The following is a 20,675-nucleotide window of genomic DNA, read 5'->3' on the forward strand; positions in this document are numbered from 1 at the left end:
CACTGTCAGGACATTTCTTTTTTTTAGACTGAGCCTTTTGTGACCTATTGGACTTGGGCCCAAACAGAGCTCAGAACTTAAAAACTCCAGCCGCTCCCCTGGGACTGAAAAACAGCAATGTTGGGGAACCAGGGAGTGCTGGGGAAACCACAGGCTCTTGTGAAAGGGCATAGAGTAGCCACGGAGAATTCCTCCCAGCAAATCCTTCAAATCTCAGGAAATTAAATACACACTGAGGCTAAGCTCCCAGACTGTCATCACAAGAGGGCAAGGCAGTTATACACCAAGAGGAAGCATGTAGAAAGGAAATAAAATTGAAACCAAAATCCTCTTTCCCCAAATCCAGAGGCTTCCAATCAAATTGTCAGAGAAGTCAGGCAACACATCTTAGTTTGAATGACACCTTGACTTTCACCGTTAGCTTACTTCCTGAGTTATGTTGCAGGATGTAAGGCTGAAAATCTGCTGGCGTGCCAAGATCAGGACTACAGGATAGCCTGGTTTTCTCTCTGCCCACTCCAGCCTCCATTGGCCCAGAATGTCATGCACACTTGATGCTGTTTGCCTTGTTTACATTGAATTTTAAAAGTTCATTATCTTAGTCTGGGCCTGGTGGCTCATGCCAGTAATCTCAGCACTTTGGGAGGCCCAGGCGGGAGGATCGCTTGAGACCAGGCGTTTGAGCCCAACCTGGGCAATGTAGCAAGACTCCTATCTCTATAAAAAAAAGAAAATTTAGGCCAGGTCGGTGGCTCACGCCTGTAATCCCAGCACTGTGGGAGGCCGAGGAGGGCCGATCACGAGGTCAGGAGTTCAAGACCAGCCTGGCCAGCATGGTGAAACCCCATCTGTAGTAAAAATACAAAAATTAGCTGGGCAACAAGAGCGAAACTCCATCTCAAAAAAAAAAAAAGAAAATTTATTATTTGTTTTCAAGTGGATTTCTTTGTGATTTTAAGCTATTTTTTGTTTTTGTTTTTATTTTTTTTTTATTTTGAGATGGAGTTTCGATCTTGTTACCCAGGCTGGAGTACAATGGCATGATCTCGGCTCACTGCAACTTCCGCATCCCGGGCTCAAGCAATTCTTCTGGCTCATCCTCCCATGTAGCTGGGATTACAGGCATGTGCCACCACACCCAGCTAATTTTGTATTTTTAGTAGAGACGGTGTTTCACCATGTTGGTCAGGCTGGTCTCAAACTCCCGACCTCAGGTGATCCGCCCACCTCAGCCTCCCAAAGTGCTGGGATTACAGGCGTGAGCCACCATGCCCAGCCTTTATTTATTTTTTGAGATGGGGTCTCACTCCGTCACCCAGGCTGGAGCACAGTGGCATGATATCGGCTCACTGCAACTTCTGCCTCCTAGGTTGAATAGATTTTCCTGTCTCAGCCTCCAGAGTAGCTGGGATTACAGGTGCATGCCACCATGCCCGGCTAATTTTTGTATTTTTAGTAGAGACAGGGTTTCACCATGTTGGCCAGGCTGGTCTCGAACTCCTGGGCTCAAGTGATCCACCTACCTCTGCCTCCCATAGTGCTGGGATTACAGGTGGGAGCCATCGCACCTGACTAATTTTTGTTTTTAAATGGTGATGCTATCATTTAAATAAGTGTTTCAGGCACTGCGGTCTTCCATCCCATTTATAGTTTTTCTTTTTTCTTTTTTTTGAGACGGAGTCTTGCTCTGTCACCCAGCGTGGAGTGCAGTGGTGCGATCTCGGCTCACTGCAAGCTCCACCTCCCGGGTTCATGCCATTCTCATGCCTCAGCCTTCCGAGTAGTTGGGACTACAGGCGCCTGCCACCACGACTGGCTAATTTTTTTTTTTTTTTTTTTTTGTATTTTTAGTAGAGATGGGGTTTCACCATGTTAGACAGGATGGTCTCGATCTCCTGACCTTGTGATCCACCCGCCTCGGCCTCCCAAAGTGCTGGGATTACAGGCGTGAGCCACTGCGCCCAGCCCCATTTATGGTTTTTCTAACATTTTCGTTAGCATTTTTAAAATTAGGTGCCCTGCTCATCTTCTCTGTGTCGTTCCAGTTTTAGTCTGTGCACTGCCGAAGCGAGCACTTTGTAGCATTTTCAATATTGAGAGGCACAGTGTGTACAGAAAAAACATTTCCTAGATATATCTACAGTATAAGGGTGTCTCATCTGGGTAAAATTTGTCCCCGGGTATTGCTCTGATTAGATTTATGGAATTCAGAAGCTGGTTGGAAATCATGTAAGCAGCACGTTTTCTGCCTTTAACAAATATTGACTGAGTGCCTAGAGCGGCTGGGAGGGGCACAGGAGCTTCCATTGTAGGGAGGGAAACTGACAGCAAGCGGCCAATGTTATGTTTATTTCAATGTAATTATGGGTCGGGTGCAGTGGCTCACGCCTGTAATCTCAGCACTTTGGGAGGCTGAGGCGGCCAGATCACCTGAGGTCGGGAGTTCGAGACCAGCCCAACCAACATGGAGAAACCCCATCTCTATTGCAAACACCAAATTAGCAGGGCGTGGTGGCGCATACCTGTAATCCCAGCTACTTGGGAGGCTGAGGCAGGAGAATTGTTTGAACCCGGGAGGCAGAGGTTGCAGTGAGCTGAGATTGTGCCACTGCACTCCAGCCTGGGCGACGAGAACAAAACTCCGTCTCACAAATAAAATAAAATAAATAAAAAAAAATTATGATCAGTGTCAGAAAAGGGATTGGTGGGTTGTTAGGATATCAGCAATAGGCTAACACCTCACTTGGGAGGTCAGGAAGGGCTTTGATGGGAAGGGGCATTTGGCCAGAGATGTGAACCCCCAATCTGAGATTTGAACGCCTATTGGCTTTGCCTGGAAGGACCACCTAATATCCTGTTCTGCCTCCCATTGCTCCCTACACTAACACCATGTTTATTTCTTTCTTTCTCTCTCTCTCTCTCTTTTTTTTTTTTTTTTTTGAGTTGGTCTTTTTGTATTGCCCAGGCTGGAGTGCAGTGGCGTGATCATAGCTCACTGCAGCCTTGACCTCCTGGGCTCAAGTGATCCTCCCACCTCAGCCTCCTGAGTAGCTGGGACCATAGGCACATGCCACCATGCCTGGCCAATCTGTTAATTTTTTGTAGAGACGTGGTCTCACCTTGTTGCCCAAGCTGGTCTTCAACTCCTGGGCTCCAGCGATCCTCCTGCCTCAGCCTCCCAAAGTGCTGGGATTACAGGTGTGAGCCACTGAGCCCAGCCCCTGTTTGTTTATTATTTTTCTTACCCACAATCTATATTTAGCTGGATTTGTTGCCTTGTTTACTGTTTGTTTCCCCACTAAAATGAAAATTCTTTGAGAAAAGGAACTTTCTCTGTCCTGTTCCCATTGTATCCTCATTGCCTGTAGTGGCCCAGAGAGAGGCCCCACATTTCCTGAAGGCACGAAGGGATGAGTGACAGCAGAGCTGGGGCACACGGTGGTCTGATCAGCCTCGGAGGGGTGGGAGTGGGGGCGGGAGAGAGATGATCAGCCTGGGACGGGTGGGAGTGGGGGTGGGAGAGAGATGGAGCCTGCAGGGGCCAGATCGTGCAGGGTGAAGGCTAATTAGGAGTGGTGAGAAGCGCTGGAGGAGGTGGGGCAAAGTGACATGATGCAGTTTGGGTTTTAGATCATTCTGGTTGCCAAAGGCGGGGTGTGGAAGAAATATGTGTGGAAGTATTGGGCTTTGCTTTCTGATCTTTTAATCTCTAATTCTTTTTATTTTTTATTTATTTATTTATTTATTTTGAGACGGAGGCTCGCTCTGTTGCCCAGGCTGGAGTGCAGTGGTGCTATCTCGGCTCACTGCAAGCTCTGCCTCCCGGGTTCATGCCATTCTCCTGCCTCAGCCTCCCGAGTAGCTGGGACTACAGGCGCCCGCCAGTACGCCCAGCTAATTTTTTTGTATTTTTAGTAGAGACAGGGTTTCACCATGTTAGCCAGGATGGTCTCGATCTCCTGACCTCATGATCCGCCCGTCTCAGCCTCCCAAAGTGCTGGGATTACAGGCGTGAGCCACGGCGCCTGGCTTTTGTTTTTTATTTTCTGAGACGGAGTCTTGCTCTATCACCCAGGCTGGAGTGCCGTGGTGCGATCTCAACTCACTGCAACCTCCGCCTCCGAGGTTCAAACAATTCTCCTGCCTTGGCCTCCTGAGCAGCTGGGATTACAGGTGCCCACCACCATGCTCAGCTAATTTTTGGATTTAATTATTAAATTATAGAACAATTCAGGCCGGACTCGGTGGCTCATGCCTGTAATCCCAGCACTTTGAGAGGCCAAGGCAGGTGGATCATGAGGTCAAGAGATGGAGACCATCCTGGCCAACATGGTGAAACCCCGTCTCTACTTAAAATGCAAAAAATCACCTGGGTGTGGTGGCATGTGCCTGTAGTCCCAGCTACTCGGGAGGCTGAGGCAGGAGAATCGCTTGAACCTGGGAGGTGGAGGTTGCAGTAAGCCAAGATTGTGCCATTGCATCCAGCCTGGTGACAGAGTGAGACTCCGTCTCAAATAAATAAATTAATTAATTAAATTTAAAAAATTGTTGAATGAATGAATGATCCTAGGGGGTTTCAGAAATACAGACGTGATGAGATAAATTAAAATTTTATATTAGTCTTTTTATGTAGCATTCATACATAATCTTTATAGATTTGATATATTACGGATTTGAAATCCTTATGACAACTTCTCATATTAGTGTCCAACGGGAAATTTATGATTCTAATTTAAAATGTAAAGTTGAATCAATTAAGTTAAACTTGTGATTTTAGATTGAAATCTCACTAGCTGTATAAATATTATTAGGATATTTAAGATAACTTGAGGTTCAACATATTATAAGTTTTTTAGCCAGGTGTAGTGGCGTGTGCCTATAGTCCTAGCTGCTTGGGAAGCTGAGATGGGAGGACTAATTGAGCCCAGGAGGTCAAGGCTACAGTCAACAGTGATTGCACCACTGCACTCCAGCCCAGGCAACAGAGCAAGACCCTGTCTCAAAAATAAAAAATAAAATACTACAAGCTTAGTTTATTAGATTTATTAGATATATTTGAACTGGGTGCAGTAGTTCACGCCTGTAATCCCAGCACTTTGGGAGGCTGAGGTGGGCGGATCACTTGAGGTCAGAGTTCGAGACTAGCCTGGCCAACAGGGCGAAACCCCATCTCTAATAAAAATATAAAAATATTAGCCAGGTGTGGTGGCGCACACCTGTAGTCCCAGCTACTCAGGAGGCTGAGGCAGGAGAATCGTTTGAACCTGGATGCAGAGGTTGCAGTGAGCCAGGATTGCGCCACTGCACTCCAGCCTAGGCGACAAAGTGAAACTCTATCTCAAAAAAAAAAAAAAAAGATACATTTGAGTACTTGGAAGATTTGTCAGATAACCAAGATACTCGAAAAGGAAATCAATCAAATATATTTAATTTGTAAAAGTAGTTGAAAATGTTTAAAAGAACTTAATCACTAGGAGTTTTGAGACCAGCCTGGGCAATGAAGTGAGATCCCACGTCTACAAAAAAAATTTTTTTTAATTATCTGGGTGTGGTGATGTATGTCTTCTCGGGGAGGCTGAGGTGAGAGGATCACTTGAGTCCAGGAGTTAGAGGCATCTGTGAGCTATGATCGCACCACTGCACTCCAGCCTAGAGAAAGAGCAAGAAGACCCTGTCTCTAAAAAAAAAAAAAAAAAAAAAGAACTTAATTATATTGTACCCAAAAAGGTTTTGTTTTGTTTTTTTGAGACGGAGTCTCGCTCTGTCACCCAAGCTGGAGTGCAGTGGTGCGATCTCGGCTCACTGCAACTCTGCCTCCTGGGTTCAAGGGATTCTCCTGCGTCAGCCTCCTGAGTAGCTGGGACTACAGGTGCCCACCACCACACCGGGCTAATTTTTGTATTTTTAGTAGAGATGGGGTTTCACCATATTGGCCAGACTGGTCTTGAACTCCTGACCTTGTGATCCGCCCGCCTCGGCCTCCCAAAGTGCTGGGATTACAGGCATGAGCCACTGCGCCTGGCAAATGTTTTTTAAATTTGTAACTTTCATGAGTTAAACAAAAACTTAAGTAATTTTTTTTTGAGACGAAGTCTCGCTCTTGTTGCCCAGGCTGGAGTGCAGTGGCGTGCTCTTGGCTCACTGCAACCTCTGCCTCCCCAGGTTCAAGTGATTCTCCTGCCTCAGCCTCCCAAGTAACTAGGATTACAGGCATGCGCCAACACACCTGGCTAATTTTGTGTTTTTAGTAGAGATGGGGTTTCACCATGTTAGTCACGCTGCTCTTGAACTCCTGACCTCAGGTGATCCGTCCGCCTTGGCCTCCCAAAGTGCCGGGATTACAGGCGTCAGCCACGGCACCCGGCCCTTAAGTCATTTTTTGAATAAAGTTTTCAGTGCACAGAAGTCATCCTAGAGCACACCAGAAACCCCACATTCCTGGGGGAGTTGCCACATTGTATTCCGAAGGGTTGTCGTAGGGCACACCCCTGCCAGCCGCACACAGGAGGTAATTCTGTTCAAAGGCTATTCAAATACTCCAATACTGTTATTACCAATGAGAAAACTGAGAGCTAACTACGGAAATGCTGTAAGGCCGGGTGGCCAGTGCTGCACTGAGTCAGCCTGGATCTCCGCCTCCCGGCTCCCCACGTCGGGCAGCTGCCTCTCTGCCAGCTGTCCCTGGTGTCCCCTTAATGAGTCTGCAGCTGGTGACAGTCTTCAGGCCCCGCTGAGGCTTAGTGACTATCACTTGTCCTGGGTAGAAGGGGTTGACATTGACTCCTTGCAATCCCCACTGGAGGTTGTTATTATTCCATTACAGGTGTGGAAATTGAGGCACGTGGTACCCAGAGTGACTTGGTGGGTAGGAAGCAGATCCTGGATGGTCTAACCCAGAGCCCGTGCTCCTCACTATGTCCAACCAGCCACTCTCCCGTCCACCTCTCTGAAGTCATCTTGGCCTCGCCAAGAGCTTCCTGGGCGCCTTGGTGGGCTGGGGTTAAGGCCACTGTATCCGCAAAGAAGGCACGTCCACCACCCGAAAGATCCTCCCTCCATGCCTGTCTCCATCTCTGCCTGAATCTCTCTCTGCATCTGGTGCGTGTTGCTGAGTGTGTACAGGCTTTCTCCCGTGCTACACTTAACTAGGTCACAGGGTGACCTCTGATCAGGCTCTCTCCGCAAGCATCCAAGAGAAGGCAGCAATTTGACAAGGACAGCCCTGGCTATAGAGCTGGGATGGGACTCAGACACAGCCAATCTGCAAAGGACTGGCCCACGGGAGGACAGTTCTGGGTTCACCATAGTGGGAGATGCAAAAATGAGTTAGACGAAAAGTGCCCGGTCTGAGCGTCCTGGCAGGCACACGGGTGTCCACGCCCCTCTGCTGGGTAGGAGCTAGAGGGCACTGGGAGGGAAAAGTCACCGTGTCTGCAGGGCCCGGGCACCCCGAGGTATGACCTTTGAGCTGGGCCTTCAAAGGAAGCAAGCTCACGTTCAAATCTGGTGTCCCTGAGCAAACGTGTCCAAAGAGGACATGTCTTTTACATTTTTACACCCCTCACAACCCCTTATCACCCTGGACAGCTCCATTTTTAGGGGCAGGAGAAGATGTCTACCCAGGACTTTTAAGATGCATCTTTTATATATTTTTAAATTTATTTTATTTTATTTTATTTTATTTTATTTTATTTTATTTTATTTATTTATTGAGACAGAGTCTTGCTCTGTCATCCAGGCTGAAGTGCAGTGGCGCCATCTCAGCTTGCTGCAACCTCCGCCTCCCAGGTTCATGTGATCCTCCTGCCTCAGCCTCCCAAGTAGCTGGGATTATAGGCACCCGCCACCATGCCCAGCTAATTTTTGTATTTTTAGTAGAGACGAGGTTTCACCATGTTGGCCAGGCTGGTCTCGAACTCCTGACCTCAAGTGATCTACCCACCTCAGCCTCCCAAAGTGCTGGGATTACAGGCATGAGACATTGCACCCAGCCAAGATACACCTTTTAAAAGACATCTTTCTCACAAGGTGGTGTTTTAAAGTGGATAAGGCTCATGATTTCAAAAGCTCCTGTCCTACGTTTTAAGCAAATCCTAAAGAGTAGTACTTTAAAAACTCTCCCAGAAACTACTCTACATAAATACATGTTCCGGTTAAGCGCCCACTGTATGCAAAGTTTTTCATGTTAACTATTTTGTTCAACTTTAACAATTTGGAAACTTTGAAAATTGCTTTACGCACTTCCTTGCCATCTTTTTTTGGAGACAGGGTCTAGTTCTGTTGCCCAAGCCGGAGTGCAGTGGTGCAATCACGGCTCACTGCAGCCTCGACTTCCTGGGCTCATGCAGATCCTCCCACCTCAGACTCCCTAATACCTGGGACTACAGGCACACGCCACCACGCCCAGCTATTTTTTTTTTTTTTTTTTGTAGCAATAAGGTCTCCCTATATTGCCCAGGCTGATCTCAAACTCCTGGGTTCAAGCGATCCTCCTGCTTTGGCCTCCCAAAGTGTTGGAATTACAGGCGTGAGCCACTGGCCTGGTCTCTTGCCTTCTTTGAAAACGAAAAGGGTACAGGACTTTTCCTGATGGTATAGAGGTCAAATGTTTATGCATCATGATGTGGGCTGACCCCAGAGACGATGGATGGGAGACAGGCTGCTCCCCCCACACTATACGGCCTAGGTCATAGGCTGTTTGGATTCTTTACTTCTAATTTTAGTCTGTTTACTCATCTAAGCATTCCCTCCTTCCTGTCCTCAGTGAGCACATCAGCCCTGACCTTCCTGCAACCACTTTTTTTTTTTTTTTTTTTTGAGACAGAGTCTCGCTCTCTTACCCAGCCTGGGGTGCAGTGGTCCAATATCGGCTCACTGAAACCACTGCCTCCCGGGTTCAAGCGATTTTCCTGCCACAGCCTCCTGAGTAGCTGGGATTACAGGCGCCTGCCACCATGCCCAGCTAATTTTTTTTTTTTTTTTGAGACGGAGTCTTGCTCTGTCGCCAGGCTAGAGTGCAATGGCGCGATCTCGGCTCACTGCAACCTTTGACTCCCTGGTTCAAGTGATTCTCCTGCCTCAGCCTCCCGAGTAGGGATTACAGGCACGTGGCACCACGCCCAGCTAATTTTTGTACTTTTAGTAGAGACGGGGTTTCCCCATGTTGGCCAGGATGGTCTCGATCTCCTGACCTCGTGATCTGTCCGCCTCGGCCTCCCAAAGTGCTGGGATTACAGGCGTGAGCCACCGCACACCACCTAATTTTTGTATTTTTAGTAGAAATGGGGTTTCACCATGTTGGCCAGGCTGGTCTCGAACTCCTGACCTCAAGTGATCCGCCTGCCTTGGCCTCCCACAGTGCTGGGATTATAGGCATGAACCACCATGCCCGGTCACCTGTGGCCCCTTCTAAATCTGATGAGGGGTGGGGGACTAGAGAGCACCAAGCTCAGTTCATTTTATCCCATTTATCCCTCCACCAATGGTGGATGAGAGCCAAGAATGCATTTTTTTTGGTTTACTAATCTCCTGTGCAAATATATACATGTAAATATATCACAGTAATACATATTACATGTATACATATAAATATATTACATGCAATAGATATTACATGTATATATATAAATGTATTACATGCAATAGATATTACATGTGTATATATATGAGTGCTATTTCAATTTGCTTTTTTTGGAGACAGGGTCTCACTCTGTCACCTGCTGGAGTGCAGTGGTGCAATCACAGCTCAATTCAGCATCAACCTCCTGGGCTCAGGGGATCCTCCCATCTCAGCCTCCCCAGTAGCCAGGTCCACAGGCACACATCACCATGCCTGTATTTTTTGTAGAGATAGGGTCTTGCTATGTTGCCCAGGCTGGTCTTGAACTCCTGGACTCAAGCAATCCGCATGCCTCGGCCTCCCAAAGTGCTTGGATTATAGGCGTGAGCCACCGTGCCCAGCCTGTTTCAATTTTCATTGTCTTGTAGAGCATTTTACTATGTGTGTCGACCTTTTGTAGTTCCTCTTCTGTGACTTGTCTGCCCATTTTTCTTTTCTCTACAAATCGTACATTAAATTTGTCAGTTTCTAGCAATGCTTTAGAAGTATACACTCTTTGACCCAGAAGCCCGCTTTTAGAAACTTGTCTTACATAAATGCTTACACATGTGCACAAAGATATATATGTACTAGGATGTTCATTGCAGCAGCTTAGAATGGGGGAAGAGGGGAAGGAAATGAGATAAATGCCCATCAGTGTCAGAATGCATAGGTAAATTATGGTACATTCATACTATACAGTCACTGAAAAATGAAGGCTGTCTGCCTGTACTGACAGGGAAAGAGGTCTCTGTGACCCCTAAAAAAATACAGTCCAGAAAAAGCAGCATAGACTCCTGATAGAATCCTGTGTGTGTGTCTGTGTGTGTGTGTGTGTGTGTGTGTTTCCCTCAAGACAGAGTCTCGCTCTGTTGCCCAGGCTGGAGTGCAGTGGTGCGTGCGATCTTGGCTCACTGCAACCTCCGCCTCCTGGGTTCAAGCGATTCTCCTGCCTCAGCCTCCCGAGTAGCTGGGATTACAGGCGCACACCACCACCAGGCCGGGGTAATTTTTTGTATTTTTAGTAGAGACAGGGTTTCACCATGTTGGCCAGGCTAGTCTTGAACTCCTGACCGCGTGATCTGCCTGCCTAGGCGTCCTAAAGTGCTGGGATTACAGGGGTGAACCACCACGCCCGGCTGTTTTTTTTTTTTTTTTTTTTAATGTTTCTTTGGGAGGCTGAGGTGGGAAGACCACTTGAGCCCAGGAGTTCCAGAGTAGCCTGGGCAACATAGCAAGGCTCTGTCTCTATAAAAAATAATTTAAAAAAATTATTAGGCCAGGTGTGGTGGCTCATGCCCGTAATCCCAGCACTTTGGGAGGCTGAGGTGGGCAGATCACTTGAGGTCAGGAGTTTGAGACCAGCCTGGCCAACATGGCGAAACCCCGTTTCTACTAAAATACAAAAATTAGCCAGGCTGAGGCACGAGAATTGCTTGAACCTGGGAGGCAGAGGTTGCAGTGAGCCAAGATCATGTCACTGCGCTCTAGTCTGGTGACAGAGTGAGACTCTGTATTAAAACAAAAAAAATTAGGTGTGGTGGTGTGTGCCTGTAGTCCCAGCTACCTGGGAGGCTGAGGCAGGAGGATTGTTGGAGCCCAGGAGTTCAAGACCAGCCTGGGCAACATGACAAGACCCCATCTCTAACAACAACAACAAAAATTAGCTGAGCATGGTAGCATGTGCCTGTGGTCCCAGCGACTTGGGAGGCTGAAGTGGGAGGATTGCTTGACCCCAGGAGGTCAAGGCTGCAGTAAGCCATAATTGCACCACTACATTCCAGAGCCTGGGCAACAGAATGAGAGCATATCTTTAAAAAAAAAAAAAAAAAAAAAATGCAGGGTCAGCGGGCTGTGAGTGGGGATTGAGGACTTTCCTACCAGAAACCTGAGTGCCCCAGCATGCCCTTTTTAGGCTGTTTAGCAGGTCGGGGTTTTTTTCTTCTTCTTCCTGATGGGTTATCTGTGACATGAGATATTTTGACAGCGAGCCCACTTTAAGCTAAGAAGTTCTATACTGAAAAAAAAACAAACATCTACATGTCCACGCAGGATCAGTTAGGGAGTGATTAACTGCGTATAAGAAAAGATGACACCTCACCTAAGTAGCTTGACATTCCTTTTCAACAGCAATCTCATTATTCTCAAAACAAGGTTGTATCCACCATTCCAACACCATATCCACTGGAAATACAGCGGTGCACCTCGGTCTAATCTGGCCAGCTGGTGCTCCAATTTGGGAGGTGTATTTTATGTTCCTAACCCCAGAAATCTCCAAGTGTGGGTTTCATTACCTGTAGAAGGTGCCGTGGGCATTTTAAACCATGCTCTGTTTTTAGCACGCCTGCTTCTGTGCAGACACGCTCACCACATTCTTCGGGAAGCCCTGAGAGTGTCTATTCCAAGAAGGTCGTATCTCACAGGTAGAAATGTTTTCCTCGTACCTGAGGCTGTTGGATGCTGGGTGTCATTCTGAAAATCCTAAACCAGGCTGGGCAGCATACACCCACAGTCCCAGCTACTTGGGAGGCTGAGATAGGGGGTGGGGGGTATTGCTTGAGCCCAGGAGTTCGAGGTTGCAATGAGCTCTGATAGCACCACCGCACTCCAGCCTGGGTGATCCAGCACGGCCCTTCTCAAAATCAAAACAAAACAAAACAAAAAAAGGCCAGGCACGGTGGCTCATGCCTGTAATCCCAGCACTTTGGGAGGCCAAGGTGGGTGGATCACAAGGACAGGAGTTCAAGACCAGCCTGACCAACATGGTGAAAACCCCGTCTCTCACTAAAAACACAAAAATTAGCTGGGCATGGTCGCGGGTGCCTGTAATCCCAGCTACTTAGAAGGCTGAGGCAGGAGAAACGCTTGAACCTCCCCCTCCAAGGTTCAAGCGGTTCAAAAAAAAAAAAAGGAAAATTCTGAATCTTTGAGATTCCAACCAAGACAACAATTTATACTCCAGGGACTATCCTAGGTTCAGGGATGCACTGCGCAGGCTGTGGGGTGAGAGGGTGGGACGAGATACCATCAAGAAACAAGGCTGGGCGCGGTGGCATCAAGAAACAAGGCTGGGCGCGGTGGCTCACACCTGTAATCCCTGCACTTTGAGAGGCTGAGGCGGGTGGATCACCTGAGGCCAGGAGTTTGAGACCAGCCTGACCAACATGCGGAAACCTCGTCTCTACTAAAAATACAAAAATTAGCTGGGCATGGTGGCGGGCGCCTGTAATCCCAGCTACTTGGGAGGCTCAGGCAGGAGAATCACCTAAACGCAGGAGGCGGAGGTTGCAGTGAGCCGAGATCACGCCACTGGACTCCAGCCTGGTTGACAGAGCGAAACCCTGTCTCAAAAAAAATAAATAAATAAAAATAATAAAAGAAAGGAAGGAAGGAAGAAAAAGAAAGAAAGGAAGGAAGGAAGGAAGGCAGGCGAGCAGGCAAGTCGGCCGGCCAGGTGTGCTGGTGGGCGCCTGTAGTTCCAGCTACTCCGGAGACTGAGGCAGGAGAATCACTTGAACCCCGGAGGCAGAGGTTGCAGTGAGCCGAGATCGAGCCACTGCACTTCAGCCTGGGCGACAGAGTGAGACTCTGTCTTAAAAAAATAAAAAATAAAAAAAAATAAGGGACCTCAATGATTGGGAAAATGGAATGCACCGGGAAGGTTAAGCAATCAATATCCCCTGACTCACTTCAAGGGCACCGGAGTCCCGGACTCATCGCCCATCAGCGGCACAGCCTGTCTATGCCCCAACCCCAGCCTATAACAGGCACGGAGGTGGGCGGGTCCCCAGGTAATCATAGTCCTGGGTGTCTCGACTTTAGCCCGCCCCTGCCCAAATACCACCTTTCCCCCGCCACCACCCGCAAATATTTACATCCTGTTTATGCCCAGGCCTCCCAGGGCCTCAATTTCATGAATAAAATATGAGTTTCTAGGCCGAGCCAAGAAGGAAAGAAACCCCCGACAGCTGGTGGAACCAGAGGCAGTTTAATGTTTCGGTTGCTGTCGCCTCCCGCGTGGTATTTGGAGGAAATTTTAATTGGCAGGTCAAGGTGATTTGGGAGGGAGACTTTGCTTTTCCCTTCTCCTCTCCTCTCCTCTCCCCTCCCCTCCCCTCCTCTCCCTCCCCTCCTCTCCCTCCCCTCCTCTCCCTCCCCTCCCCTCCCCTCCCTCCCCTCCCCTCCCCTCCCTCCCTCCTTTACCCTCCCCTCCCTCCCCTCCCTCCTCTCCCCTCCTTCCTCTCCCCTCCTCTCCTCTCCCTCCCGGGTTCACGCCATTCTCCTGCCTCAGCCTCCTGGGTAGCTGGGACTACAGGTGCCCGCCACCACCCCCGGCTGATTTTTTTTGTATTTTTAGTAGAGACGGGGTTTCATCGTGTTAGCCAGGATGGTCTCGATCTCCTGACCTTGTGATCCGCCTGCCTCGGCCTCCCAAAGTCCTGGGATTACAGGCATGAGCCACCACGCCCGGCCCTCTTTTATTTTTTTGATGGAGTTTCGTTCCTGTTGCCCAGGCTGGAGTGCAATGGCGCGGTCTCAGTTCACTGCAACCTCCTTCTCCCGGGTTCAGGTGATTCTCCTGCCTCAGCCTCCGGAGTAGCTGGGATTACTGGTGCTCACCACCACACCCAGCTAAATTTTAAAATATTTTTAGTAGAGACAGGGTTTCACCATGTTGGCCAGCTTGGTCTTGAACTTCTGACCTCAGATGATCCGCCCGCCTCGGCCTCCCAAAGTGCTGGGATTATAGGGGCAAGCCACCATGCCCGCCGCCACCCCGCCCCGCCCTTTTTTTTTGTTTTTTTTTGAGACAGGGTCTCCCTTTGTCACTCGGGCTGGAGTGCAGTGTTGCGATCTTAGCTCACTGGAGACTCCAACTCCTGGGCTCAAAAGATCCTCCCTCCTCCCACCTCAGCCTCTCAAATATCTAGGACTACATGCACGCACCACCACGCCTGGCTAATTTTTTGACTTTTTATTTTTTGTGTTAAGATGGAGTGCATTTTCTACACTGCTATCTGGGGGTCCTGAAAGGAAACTACTGAGCTTTATTTATAGGTCTGTTTCCTGAGAAACTCACTTATCCTGAAATGTCAAAGTTAAGCCAGAGTGTGCTGTTTAGAGATAACCTTGTCCAATGTCCTCATTTTAGTATTTCATTTATTTATTTATTTATTTGAGATGGAGCCTCGCTTTTTCACCCAGACTGCAGTGCAGTGGTGCAATCTCGGCTCACTGCAACCTCTGCCTCCCAAATTCAAGCAATTCTCCTGCCTCAGCCTCCTGAGTAGCTGAGATTACAGGTGGGCAACACCACACGGCTAATTTTTGTATTTTTAGTAGAGACGGGGTTTCACCATGTTGGCCAGACTGGTCTCGAACTCCTGACCTCAAGAGATCCATCCGCCTTGGCCCCCCTAAGTACTGGGATGACAGGCATGAGCCGCCTGGCCTGTGGGTGTGAATTTCTATATTTTAAAAAATTGGCTGGGCATGGTGGCTTATGCCTGTAATGCCACTATGTTGCACAGGCTGGTCCCGAACTTCTGGGCTTACGTGATCCTCCTGCCTTGGCCTCCCAAAGTGCTGGGATTATAGGCATGAGCCACTGCACTCAGCCTATTTATTTATTTTAGAGACAGAGTCTCATTCTGTTGCCCTGGCTGGACTGCAGTAGCACGATCACAGCTCACTGCAGCCTTGAACTCCTGGACTCAAGCCATCCTCTCACCTCAGCCTCCTCAGTAGCTGGGACTAGAGGCTCGCACCGCTGCACCTGACTTAGTCCTATTTTTATAGATGAGAAAAGTGGAGTGAAGCCGGAAGAGATTTGCCTCAAACCAGGAAGTGCCTCAGGAGGGATCTGAACCGCCAGACCAGGACTTCTAACCTCCACTGCTTCCTGGACAGGCTTTCATTTTAATTATTTTTCTAAATTGGGAGGGAGTCTTACTGTGTCACCCAGGCTGGAGTGCAGTGGTGTGATCTCGGCTCACTGCAACCTCTGCCTCCCGGGTTCAAGTAATCCTCCTGCCTCAGCCTCCCGAGTAGCTGGGACTACAGGTGCCCACCACGAAATCCGGCTGATTTTTGTATTTTCGGTAGAGATGGGGTTTCACTATGTTGGCCAGGCTCGTCTCGAACTCCTGACCTCAAATGATCCACCCGTCTTGGCCTCCCTAAATCCTGGGATTACAGGCGTGAGCCACCCTGCCTGGCATCATTTTAAATTCTGATCTAAACAAAAAGTGCTCCAAACTTCCCTCCTTTTCAAAGTGGTGTCACCGTGTCAGCAACCTGAAGAAATCATTCTTATGGGAAAGAAAGTTCTGGTTTAGGATTGCTGACGGAAAACAAAACAGGAAGTCAAGCATTCCCAGCTGACATAGACCATCTGGGAATGTACTAGAATCAGTCCTGCTGTGGGCCAGGCTGTGTGGTGTGTGCTTTACCCTGGCTTCAGAGGAGAGAGGAGAGGGATTCAAGACTGCAGACAGCCCTGAGCCAGATCTGTCCTCCCAGGGGAGTGGAGGATGGGCCACGGCCACATCTGGGCTGAACCAGGAGGCATGGACAGGAAGCTAGAACGGCAGAGACCAGAGGGGCCACCATGCTAATGGGGAAGTGGTGTGGCTGGGGGATGGGGGCCGCAGACCTCAGGGTTGGGGAATGAGTCAACTGCGAGGGCGTTTGCACCAAAGGAAGGATGGAAAGCCTGCCTGGCCCTGGCTGGTTAGACACTAGGAATGCCCTGTGGTTTCCTAAACTCTACTCCAGCCTCTGGTACAAACAAATCCCTGGCAATCCTCGCTCTGTGTGAGTGACAATCCCTGTACTCTACTGTAAACTTCCAGTGAGCCAGGCACTGTGAGAGGAGCCCTATAAAAAAAGGAGACTGGCTGGGGGTGGTGGCTCACGCCTGTAATCCCAGCACTTTGGGAGGCCGAGGCAGGCAGATCATGAAGTCAGGAGATTGAGACCATCCTGGCTAACACGGTGAAACCCCATCTCTACTAAAAATACAAAAAATTAGCCGGGCATCATGGCGGGCGACTGTAGTCCCAGCTACTCGGGAGGCTGAGGCAGGAGAATGGCGTGAACCCGGGAGGCGGAGTTTTCAGAGAGGTGAGACAGTGCCACTGCACTCCAGCCCAGCCTGGGCAATAGAGCGAGACTCCGTCTCAAAAAAAAAAAAAAAAAAAAGAGAGAGAGACCTCGGTCAGGCGAGGTGGTCACACCTGTAATCCCACCATTTTGGGAGGCCGAGGCAGGTGGATCACCTGAGGTCGGGAATTTGAGACCAGCCTGGCCAACATGGTGAAACTTCACCTCTACCAAAAATACAAAATTAGTTGGACGTGGTGGTGGGTGCCTGTAATCCCAGGTACTCGGGAGGCTGAGGCAGGAGAATCGCTTGAATCCGGGAGGCAGAGGTTGCAGTGAGCCGAGATCGTGCTATTGCACTCCAGCCTGGGCAACAAGAGCAAAATTTCATCTAAAAAAAAAAAAGGTTTTTCTGTAGAGATGGGGGTCTTGCTAGGTTGCCCAGGCTGGTCTCAAAATCCTGGCTTCAAGCGATGCTCCAGCCTTGGCCTCCCAAAGCACTGGGATAGGCAGGAGCCACCATGCCTGGACATAGGACCAAGATTCTATATTTTTTTCCCATAATCTTTTTTTTTTCTTCCTTTTTCTGATTTCCAGTGGGGTTGGATTTTGCTCAAAATTTTTTTTTTTTTTTTTTTTTAAGATGGAGTCTCACTCTGTCACTCAGACTGGAGTGCAGTGGCATGATCTCGGCTCACTGCAACTTCTGCCTCCTGGGTTCATGCAATTCTCCTGCCTCAGTCTCTCGAGTAGCTGGGACTACAGGCACACGCCACCACACCTGGCTAATTTTTATATTTTTAGTAGAGACGAGGTTTCACCATGATGGCCAGGCTGGTCTCGAACTGCTGACCTCAAGTGATCCACCCGCCTCGGCCTCCCAAAGTGTTGGGATTATAGGCATGAGCCACCACGCCTGGACTTAACTCAATTTTTTTTCTTATTTTTTTGACCTTGAGGATGAGGATTCTGAGCAAAGCTGCACCACCCCATCCCATATCCTCTGTCTTTAAAAAAACACCCTTGGGGCTGGGCACAGTGGCTCACACCTGTAATCCCAGCACTTTGAGAGGCCGAGGTGGGCGGATCACAAGGTCAGGAGATGGAGACCATCCTGGCTAACACGGTGAAACCCGTCTCTATTAAAAATACAAAAAATTAGCCAGGCATGGTGGCGTGCATCAGGAGGCTGAGGCAGGAGAATCGCTTGAACCCAGAAGGCAGAGGTTGCAGTGAGCTGAGATGGCACCACTGCACTCCAGCCTGGGCGACAGAGCGAGACTCCGTCTCAAAACAAAACAAAACAAAAAAAAACACCCTTGGGCTGCCAGTGTCTGATTTCCCAGGGAGTTCCCCGGGACCTGGGTCTGATGTGTCATCTGATTTCTTACTTGAGGCAAAAAAAGTAAGGACAGGGATGAGGAGTTCCAAGTATCTGTGGCCTCAGCCTGGTTGGACTGTGGGTAGGAGAAGGAAGGAGTATTCCGGAGAACCAGTTGCAGCCATGGAAGAGGGGTTTCCTGGGGAAACAGGATTTTTTTTTTTTTTTTAGACAGAATCTCGCTCTGTTGCCCAGAGTAAGTGCAGTGGCACCATCTCGGCTCACTGCAACCTCTGCCTCCCAGGTCCAAGCGATTCTTCTGCCTCAGCCTCCTGAGTAGCTGGGACTACAGTGTGTGCCACCATGCCCGGCTTATTTTTGTATTTTTAGTAGACAGGGTTTCACCATGTTGCCCAGGGTGGTCTCAAACTCCTGACCTCAAGTGATCTGCCCCCTTGGCCTCCCAAAGTGCTGGGATTACAGGCATGAGCCACGGCGCCCGACCCCAATTCCACTTTTTTTTTTTTTTTTTTGAGACGCAGTCTTGCTCTGTCGCCGAGGCTGGAGTGCAGTGACGCGATCTCGGCTCACTGCAACCTCAGCCTCCCAGGGTCAAGCGATTCCCCTGCCTCAGCCTCCCTAGTAGCTGGGACTACAGGCACACACCACCATGCCCAGCTAATTTTTTGTGTGTGTGTTTTAGTAGAGACGGGGTTTCACCATGTTGGCCAGGATGGTCTCGATTTCCTGACCTTGTGGTCCACCCGCCTTGGCCTCCCAAAGTGCTGGGATTACAGGCGTGAGCCACGGTGCCTGGCCCTAACCCACATTTTAAGAAGGCTGGAATATGACTTTGGAAGAAAAGCTTGGGTTGTGCTTGCAGGGACACGCACCTGCCTGCAGGGGACACTGTGGGTGGCTGCCAGCAGGGCACATGCAGGGTGGGAGACCAGGGCCAAGGGCACGCCGAGCGCAGGTGACCTGCAGAGCCAGGCTCACTGGTGGGACCCAAAGGTGCAGGAGGCCAGGACCCAGGGGCACAGCTGGTCCTTGGAGACAAGTCCCAAGCTGAGCTGGCTGCCACCTCCACCCCCACCACCCAGCAAGGCAGGGATCATTTCACAGCCCACCACATCCAGACATGCAGCTGTTCAGGTCCAAGAAGCCCATCTAAGTAGAGGGGCTTTCTTTACCCGCCTGTTTCCCTCTCCATCTCCAGGGGGCCTGCGGTGGGTTCCTGGCCTCTCCAGATTGCCAGAGATAACCTTCAGTTCCCTATTTCCTAAAATGAAGAAATTGAATTGAAATGTTCCAGGGTCCTCTAGCATCCTAACATACTGATTTGTGTCATTTATAGATTTGTTATTTAAAGCAAGCATGTCTCACTCTAAGTTACTTTCCCTGAAAACTTGGATTAAAAATAAATCTGTATTTTAAATTCATAACTACAGCTTATTTACCACTCTTCTGAAATTACTTTGCAAAGTGAAGGATCACTTTGCAAAGTGAAGCTCACTTTGTAAAGTGAACAAACTTAATTTTATCAGGAAAAAAAAAAAGCAGCAGCTGGGTGTGGTAGCTCATGCCTCTAGTCCCAGCTATTTGTGAGGCTGACGCAGGAGAGCTGCTTGAGGCCAGGAGTTCGAGACCAGCCTGGCCAACATGGTGAAACCCCATCTCTACTAAAAATACAAAAATTAGCTGGGCGTGGTGGCACATGCCTGTAGTCCCAGCTACTCGGGAGGCTGGGGCAGGAGAATTGCTTGAACCCGGGAGACGGAGATTGCAGTGAGCCGAGATCGTGCCACTGTATTCCAGCCTGGGCGACAGAGCAAGACTCTGACTCAAAATAAATAAATAAATAAAAATAAAATAAAAAAGAAAGAAAAGAAAAGGGAAGAAAACCAAAATTCAGCTAAGCAGGTATGTTTAGGGAGGGGAGGGAATGGAGAGGGGAAACTAGGGGATTCCAAGATACCTGGAAAGTTCTATTTCTTGAGCCAGGCGTCCTTCACATAGGTGTTTATTTTCTTATCCTGAAGTCATGCCTATACATTGGAGAGCCACTTCATATGTACGTTATTTTGTAATCAAAACCAAAAGCAATTTACCATACACGTGCACCTCCCCCACCTCATCTTCCAAACCTAGGACCAGCACGCTGGGGGAAGAAACCTGTATAAAAGTCACCCAAAGGAGTGGGGGACAGAGACCAGGACTACACCCCACCCCACCCCACCCTGACTTAGAGACCTCCACCCTGCCCTCACCCTGAACAAGAAACCCCTCAACCCATCCGTACCCTGGTTTAGAGACCCCACCGCCCCCTTCACCCACCTGGAGCCCCTGCTGTGACTGGGGTCTCAGTGATTCCATGGGTCTCCTGGGTGCGAATCCCAAACCCAGGGCAAAGGGACCAGAGGGACCATCGGTCTCCAGCCCCAGTGCTTCCTTCCTGATGGGGAGTTGTCAGGAATGTCAGTGGTGAGAGGGGACTCATGACACACCGGCTTTCTTCTCTAGGCCTCAGGCCGACAAGAAACTTGGAGAGACAGCAGCTTGCAGCTGAGTGTGGGCAAGCGGGCACCCTTGATGCAGTAGAGGAGTTGCTGTGCTAGATACTGTTGGGCATCCTTTTTTTTCTTTTTTTTT

At 49.1% G+C, this 20,675-nt stretch overlaps 9 annotated features.

Annotated features, from left to right (window-relative positions):
- Nucleotides 1,639-1,698: an enhancer, noted in NCBI's record as "active region_26151". NCBI's record gives its function as "activates an Ori minimal core promoter by ATAC-STARR-seq in GM12878 lymphoblastoid cells {active_cell/tissue: GM12878}" and the evidence as "EXISTENCE:reporter gene assay evidence [ECO:0000049][PMID:35858748]".
- Nucleotides 6,082-6,583: an enhancer, noted in NCBI's record as "H3K4me1 hESC enhancer chr7:73676953-73677454 (GRCh37/hg19 assembly coordinates)". NCBI's record gives its function as "activates a minimal SCP1, AML or CMV promoter by ChIP-STARR-seq in primed H9 embryonic stem cells {active_cell/tissue: H9 hESC(primed)}" and the evidence as "EXISTENCE:reporter gene assay evidence [ECO:0000049][PMID:30033119]".
- Nucleotides 6,584-7,083: an enhancer, noted in NCBI's record as "H3K4me1 hESC enhancer chr7:73677455-73677954 (GRCh37/hg19 assembly coordinates)". NCBI's record gives its function as "activates a minimal SCP1, AML or CMV promoter by ChIP-STARR-seq in primed H9 embryonic stem cells {active_cell/tissue: H9 hESC(primed)}" and the evidence as "EXISTENCE:reporter gene assay evidence [ECO:0000049][PMID:30033119]".
- Nucleotides 9,744-9,793: an enhancer, noted in NCBI's record as "active region_26152". NCBI's record gives its function as "activates an Ori minimal core promoter by ATAC-STARR-seq in GM12878 lymphoblastoid cells {active_cell/tissue: GM12878}" and the evidence as "EXISTENCE:reporter gene assay evidence [ECO:0000049][PMID:35858748]".
- Nucleotides 15,494-15,543: an enhancer, noted in NCBI's record as "active region_26153". NCBI's record gives its function as "activates an Ori minimal core promoter by ATAC-STARR-seq in GM12878 lymphoblastoid cells {active_cell/tissue: GM12878}" and the evidence as "EXISTENCE:reporter gene assay evidence [ECO:0000049][PMID:35858748]".
- Nucleotides 16,154-16,243: an enhancer, noted in NCBI's record as "active region_26154". NCBI's record gives its function as "activates an Ori minimal core promoter by ATAC-STARR-seq in GM12878 lymphoblastoid cells {active_cell/tissue: GM12878}" and the evidence as "EXISTENCE:reporter gene assay evidence [ECO:0000049][PMID:35858748]".
- Nucleotides 16,284-16,373: an enhancer, noted in NCBI's record as "active region_26155". NCBI's record gives its function as "activates an Ori minimal core promoter by ATAC-STARR-seq in GM12878 lymphoblastoid cells {active_cell/tissue: GM12878}" and the evidence as "EXISTENCE:reporter gene assay evidence [ECO:0000049][PMID:35858748]".
- Nucleotides 17,732-17,781: an enhancer, noted in NCBI's record as "active region_26156". NCBI's record gives its function as "activates an Ori minimal core promoter by ATAC-STARR-seq in GM12878 lymphoblastoid cells {active_cell/tissue: GM12878}" and the evidence as "EXISTENCE:reporter gene assay evidence [ECO:0000049][PMID:35858748]".
- Nucleotides 18,072-18,141: an enhancer, noted in NCBI's record as "active region_26157". NCBI's record gives its function as "activates an Ori minimal core promoter by ATAC-STARR-seq in GM12878 lymphoblastoid cells {active_cell/tissue: GM12878}" and the evidence as "EXISTENCE:reporter gene assay evidence [ECO:0000049][PMID:35858748]".

The sequence above is a fragment of the Homo sapiens genome, chromosome 7 (genome assembly GCF_000001405.40).
Source record: "Homo sapiens chromosome 7, GRCh38.p14 Primary Assembly".
NCBI classification, from domain to species: domain Eukaryota; kingdom Metazoa; phylum Chordata; class Mammalia; order Primates; family Hominidae; genus Homo; species Homo sapiens.